The sequence below is a fragment of the Homo sapiens genome, chromosome 21, assembly GCF_000001405.40.
Source record: "Homo sapiens chromosome 21, GRCh38.p14 Primary Assembly".
NCBI lineage: Eukaryota > Metazoa > Chordata > Mammalia > Primates > Hominidae > Homo > Homo sapiens.
This window is the reverse complement of record NC_000021.9, coordinates 6,082,331-6,089,039: the sequence shown is the minus strand read 5'-3', so window position 1 is coordinate 6,089,039 and position 6,709 is coordinate 6,082,331. Positions and strand designations below refer to the sequence as shown.

General features: G+C 61.7%; 1 long non-coding RNA gene across 1 annotated transcript, besides 1 other annotated feature; it reads left to right on the top strand.

Moving 5' to 3' along the window:
* Window positions 1-6,709: part of a sequence alteration artifact (region identified as an assembly artifact by the Genome Reference Consortium. This region falsely duplicates sequence located at GRCh38 chr21:43376890-43571979) that runs on past both edges of the window.
* Window positions 798-4,676, top strand: CH507-42P11.6 (uncharacterized). Its single transcript, NR_171776.1, has 3 exons — window positions 798-1,695; window positions 1,947-3,279; window positions 3,895-4,676. It is a non-coding gene; the product is annotated as an uncharacterized CH507-42P11.6 (long non-coding RNA).

The window sequence follows — 6,709 nt, the reverse complement described above, 5'->3', positions numbered from 1 at the left end:
TGTCCTCACAAGGCCATCCCTCTGTGTGGGTCTGTGTCCTCATCTCCTCTCCGTATAAGGACACCAGGCAGATTGGGCCAGGGCCACCCCACCAGCCTCATGTTACCTTAACCACCTCTGTGAGGACCCCATCTCCAAGTAAGGTCCCTTGCGGAGGCATTGGGGCTTAGGGCTGCAGCATACAGATCTGGGGGAGACACACGGCCCCTAACAGTATCAAGGGTGGGTGGGCCCTCATAGGATAGGACAGCCGCCCAGTGGGGAGACACGTGGCCCCTAACAGTATCGAGGGTGGGTGGACCCCCATAGGATAGGACAGCCGCCCAGGGGGGAGACACGTGGCTCATAACAGTATTGAGGGTGGGTAGAGCCCGATAGGATAGGACAGCCTCCGGGGGAGACACGCGGCCCATGACAGTCTCGAGGGTGGGTGGACCCCCACAGGACAGCCGCCGGACATTTCCTCCTCTGCTAGTCTGAAAATCACACTGTCTTAGGCAGACAGGGAAGAATCAACATTTCCATGCCAGGCAGAGGCCCCCGGAGCGCAAAGGACCAGAGGATCAAAGAGCAAACGTCACCCTCAGGGTCTAACGTGCAGGTGGCAGGACCCCGGCCCTTCCTGTGTATCTGATTGTGGGTTTTGTCTCTGCCACGTGCAGGGATGGGTGCAGACTCCGTCCAAGGTCTTGGCAGGAAGAGAAAACTGCCACTGCAGAGGGGCTGGCTGAGGGGCTGGGATGGGGTCCCCGGGGCGCGGAGCTGCACACCAGCCCCTCGCACCTAGGCAGAAGGTCCATTGCCCTCTGCCCCGCAGCCTGCCCGTTCCCAGGCCAGCGAGGGCGCTCCCAGGCCGGTCTGCAGCCAGAACACAGCCCGTTCCATGTGCTTGTCCTCGGGACACATTAGGAATGAACCCAGGCCTCAGTCCTGGCCTCCTCCTCAAGGCTGGGTGCTCAGACGTCCCCCTCAGCCCCTTTCTCTAGACCTTCCGGCTGAACAAACGAGAACATCTCACAGCCCTGCAACAGCCAGGAGCTGCTCGTGGAGCTCCACGCCCGGCTGGAGAGAGAGGAGGCACCCTGGGCAGCCCGCCAGCACCCAGGCTCTCACAGTGGAAGCCCACGTCTTCTTGGGCTCTATTTTGAAAGCTGTTCTTTCCACGACGGCTTTGACAAGAATCGATTTGAGTGAGCCGGCGTGTCAATACAGGCCAGCACAGGACTGGCCTCAGGGCCACATTGGGGAGGGTGGCGACCAGGCCCTGGCTGCAGCCCACGTGGGCAAAAGCATGGCCAGGCAGGAGGTGGGGCCTGTGAGCTTGGCTACAGCGACCGTGGGCGCTGGGCCCGGGGCTCCTCAGCCCTGAGGGGAGACCCAGGCCCAGGCAGGCTCCCAGGCGGGCTCCCGGGCTCCCAGCCTTCCGATCTTCTCCCTTTGAGACCTTGCCTTCTGCACAGTGACAGGAAAGAGCCCTGAGTCCCACTTTGCAGGGATGTATTGCATTTCCAGAAAGTTCCTTCCGGGTGCAGAGTGATACATGAACCCTGGGGACTCACTCCAACTTGGTATTGATTTTCTCCACGGAGGACCCAGCAGTCACGGCCCGTGTCTGCACAGCCCCTTGGATCCTGCGGAGGAATTCAGCCGGCCCCTCCCCCTGTGCCGAAAACCACGGAGGCAAAGCCAGGCCAGGTTCAGGTTCCACGCAAAGCGCCCTCCTGTAGCCAAGCCCAGCCCCATGAGGTCAGGAGGCCTGGGTGGGGTCCCAGGTGGGGAGGCCGCCTGTGTGGGGTCCCAGGTGGGGAGGCTGCCTGTGTGGGGGCTCCCGCCAGCGCCCCTCCCCGCTCATGGAGGCACAGGGACAGCCATGTGTGCCCGCAGGACGCCTGGCTCTGCCCACTCGCCCCCACAGCATGCTGAGGAGCTCGGGCTTTGCTTTCTAGGGTACAGTGAGAACACGGGAGAGGACTGAGAGACCGCTGGCTGCCGAGGGAGGAAGAGCAGGATTCGCACCCCCGTCATCGCTGGGCCCACACGCCGCCGACAGCTTCCGCGTGTGGCCATCTGTCTTTCAGAAACCCTCTGGCAGAGGGACCCAGCAGATGACACGGGGGCCGTTCACACTCTGAAACCTGCCTGGAGTCAAAACACTGCTGGCGAGCCTCCACCGCAAACCCAATCCAGATGGTCTTCCCTGGTGGCCCTCGGGGTGGCGGGCACCCTGCCCACTCCCTGCCAGCCCCTGCCCGCTGGACTCCAGGCCCGGCCGAGCCCCCGACCGGTCTCCTGACCCAGCATGCTGCTCTCCCCTGGGCCCGGCTTCCTCGCCCGCTGGGACTCCCAGGCCCCTCCAGCCCAGCCCCGAGAGCAGGAGCCCCAAGGGAGGCTTGGCGGCTGTGGAGGCGAGTGGGCCACGTGTAGCTGGGAGGCCGGCAGGACCAGGAGCCCCTCACAGCGCAGCACCCACAGCATCACGAGCCACTTCCACTCCTGGGTGGCCTGGGGGCCCCCACCCTGCTCTGAGCTGCCCCTTGTTGTGACCTGGGGTCCCCCGTGGTGGGCCCGCCCCTTGCGCCTGGGATCCAGCCTCAGCGAGGCTCCAGAAGTGTCGTCTCCGCCGGCCAGGCGTCAGCGCCTCCACCCAGGATCACACACTCCTATCTCTGCACTTCTGCCCTCCATCCTGCTCCACGCCGCCTCTGCTTGTTATTCCAGCACATTCCAGGGTGATGCCTGCTGAAGCCACGCAGCCAGTGCCTCCACCCTACCCCCCATCTGACCCACCGGCCCCTTCCGCACGCTGGAAGCCTGCCCGGCCTGAAGTGTCCTCACCTGTCGCCCTATCCTCCCCTCCACTCCAGCCCACCGGTGACTCAGCCCTCACAGCTCTCTCCTCCCCGAGGGAGCCGGTGACTTGGCTCTGATGGTGCCGGGACCCAGCCCCGGCATGTTCAGAATCCTTGTCCTTTAACCTGCGTCCACATGTAGTCGCCTCCACCTCCCTGCCTGAACCTCCAGGCCCTGCAGAGCAAACACTGCTGCCTGCAGGAGACCCCTGGGGCCTTCTCCGTCCCCTCATCCTCCTAAGGAGCCTCCCCTGCCACCGTGCCAGAATGTGCCGGAGGAACAGAGGCCCGAGCCTCCCGTGGCCCCAGCGAGGCTTCCTCTGGGGAAGACAGTGAGCCCAACGCCCTGGCTCTCGAGGGGTGGACGGAGTCCAGCTGGCATCGACCGGGTGCCCCTCTTCACCGGTGTCCACAGTCCTTGAGAGCAAAGGTGGTCCCAGCAGTGGAGCAGAGGGCAAGGGTGGGGCATGTAGAGTCTCCAGGGAGCCACTGTTGGTTAGAGAGGGAGCCCGAAGTGGGCTCCGGACCCCAGCAGGGACAGCGTCCCCTTCCAGCGGGGGCAGCCGATTGATCTGGGCACACGAGCAGGAGGAGCGGCGCCACCCAGGGCTGACCTCACGGCCCTGCTCACGTCTCGGGGCATTTTGGCAGACCCACCTAGACCTGGGGGACAGCCTGATTTCCTGCAGCCATGACCTACAAGGGTGGCAGCTCTCTCAGGCTTGAGTAACCAGGACACAGACCTGGGCCATTTAATGCGCAGGCAGCCCCAAGTCCCGGCAGGGCCAGAAGCAGAGACGGCGGCTGGGGATGAAAGTGCACGCTGGTCCCAGATGGGGCTGGGGGTGAAAGCTGCATGCTGATCCCTGGGCCCCCTCACTCTATGAGCTCCTGAAAGGAGGGAAGCCCCCACACCCTACTGAGTGGAGTGCTCCTTGGCCTGGGACCCCGTCCAGTGTCTGCTGCTGTGGGGGCGGGCTCTGGGCAGAGAGAGGCCAGACAGGCACCCAGGAAAGCTGGAACACATCCCTCCTGCTTCCCCCAGGGTTCCCAGAGGCGACCTCCCTCCTGCACAGGCATTTGTCATCCTTACCCTCTAGGACAGCTTTGCCATGTGCAGTGAACCCCTGGACAGTGTTGCGTGCCACTTTGCCGGATTTGGACTGTATACAGACCGAAGCATGTGGCATGAAGCCTTCTGCTGTCAGCAAGTTCCTTGTCCCTCGACAGTATGTGCCCAGGCTGCCCTTCAAGGTGGCAGTGATGGCAGTTGTCTCTTGCACGCTGCGTACAGTTCTGTCACTGACTCTTACACACAGCCCTGGAGACGGGAGAGTGCCGGGAGCATTCTATGCAAGTGTCCTGGCCTTTGCGGGCGTCTCCACAGCACAAACACGAGTCAGGGACCACCCCTCTTCTGCTTCCATGATTCCACCAACTGGGTGGGGCAGAGCAGTGCCAGGGCCGGAGGCACGCCCCAGGTGAGGGCAGGTGGCCATGCCAGTGAGTGCACTGCGTTCTCAGTTAATTCATCCGAAATATTTCTAAGTTTCTTGATTATTGCAGTTGCATCCCCAAGATAATGCCGCCCTCACCAAGTAGAAGGCACATGTGCTCTGATGGCCCCTCCCACACTGGGGTCAGGGCACAGCAACTTAGCGAGGCGACGTGGGGGCTCAGAGGACCTCGGACCAGGCTCGGCACATGGGGCTTCTCCAGCCAGCCAGGGGGAAGCACCCTGCAGACTGCTAACTTTTGCAAAATAGAGTAAAAAAGATCAGCTAGAAAAATAAAACAAAAAAGGAAAGATATACAAAATACAAGGCCATTTATATTGTTGCATTTAACAGTCATCAACTCACTCCGTCTGAGGGGCGTTGGCATCTGTGGACACACTCAGTGCCGAGGTTTGTCCCACTGCGGGCAGGCACAAGCGGCTTCCTGGGGGCTGGCCCTCGCCTGCTCTGCGTGGCTGTGCTGCATGGGACACTGAGGCACCCGTCGGCTGCTCACTGCCTGGCTGCATCTGTGAGGGAGGAAACGAGCTGGGTACCAGCTCAGCCTCTGAAGACCCCACGGGTGCCCTAAGCTGTGATGTCTGTCCCCAAAGTTCATTTTGGGTGGGAGTGCTGGGGGTGCAGGGACAGAGGGTTCCAGCTCACCCAGGGCCAGCCCTGACCAGACGGCAGGAACCAGGGTCTGCGGCTGGATGCAGACGGCAGGCAGATCATTCTGGGGAAATCCCTTTCTTAAACCACATACTGTCCTGGGCTGAGCAGGCCCCCCTAAAAACTCATGTCAACTCAGAACCTCAGAATGTGACCTTATTTGGAAATAGGGTCTTTGCTGATGTAATCAAGTTAGGGTGAGCTCACACTGGAGTATGGTGGGCCCTCATCCAATGACGGCATCCTTGTAAGAAGAGGGAAGTCAGCCCCACAGATGCAGGGAGGACAGCCACGTTTCAATGGAGGCAGAGACTGGAGCCACACAGCTGCACGCAGAGGGACGCCCGGGGTCACCAGGAGCTGGAAGAGGCAGGGAGGACCCTCTCCTCGGGCCTCCAGAGTGGGCAGGGGCCTGAGGATGCCCTGATCCCCAATTCCAGTCTCTAGAGCTGTGAGAGGCTCAGCATCTTAGCTCCCCAGCGTGTGGCCTCTGTCAGGGCAGCCTTGGGAGCTGAGCCTGGCCCCTAACTCTCAGGAGCTCTCCCACAGACGGGGTTCTGCATCTCCCGAGCACGTCCGAAGCCCCCTTTCCACAAGGGCCACTGCTCGCCAGGCTGACGGTGACCGCCACTTCCCTAGGGACCCACCTTCTGTTCCCAAAGGCCCTGCCTGACACCTGGCCACTCAGCCCCACCCCGCCTAGCCTGCACGCCCCACATGTCCACGGGGTCTTCTCTGAACGGGCCTGGCCTTTCGGTGGGGAGGCGAGGACTCCATTTGAGGGCTGGCCCCTGATTGCTCCAGCATTTCAGTGACATTGTGCCCCAGGCCGAGGGAAGACTCTGGAAAAACTTCCCACCAAACTCCTCTTCTGCAGAGTTGAGCTGACAGGAAGTCTGTAACTTTCCTGCAAAACGTTATTCTACCCCCGCCAGGTGAGCTGAGATGGCAAAGGCTGACGACAAGGGTCCCGGGAGTCCCCACAGCTATGGGGGAGGGTAACTGGCCCCCCCCACCCTGTGGGGAATAGCAGCAAAGCTTCACACAACCCCCAGGGCCAGTGTCTGCTGCTGAGCGCAGGTCCCACCAGAGCCAGCACGAAAGCCATAGAAAGACAACCTGAAGTCACCAGTGTCCCTCGGCAGAAGGAACAACCCGTGGTGTCTCCCGCTCCCTCCCTGCACAGCCATGAAAAGAAAGGGCCTGTGTACTCTAACAGCAGGGAGAACACAGTCCCCAAGACCCCCACAGGCTGGGAAGTCAGAGATCACAGGAGAGGTCACCTCTGGGGGTCATGACTCGGGGGAGTCCCTGGGGGGGACCAGGGGTTCTCTGTGGTTCTGGCGTGCTCTTGGAGGGACTCACTGACACGCACGGCGGTTACACGGGCGCAGACACGCAAAGACCTGAGCACGAGATAAGATTTGTGTCTTTCGTGGTACGTCAGCTTTACCCCATTTTTAAAGACTTTCAAAAATGTTATTCTGGGCATATGCTTTGAACAGATTGTAACCCCACCCCAGAAGGAGGACCTTGGATGTGGAGCTGGCAAGCTGGAGCCGCCCAGGGCTGTCCGTCTCCCTGTGGCTTCTTCTCCAGGAGGCTCCCGGGAGCAAAGCCGAGTCGGCAAGGCCATCCGCCCGCTGAGCAGGTGTTGGCTGCCTGGGTGGCACTTCCTGTGCTGAGGCTCAG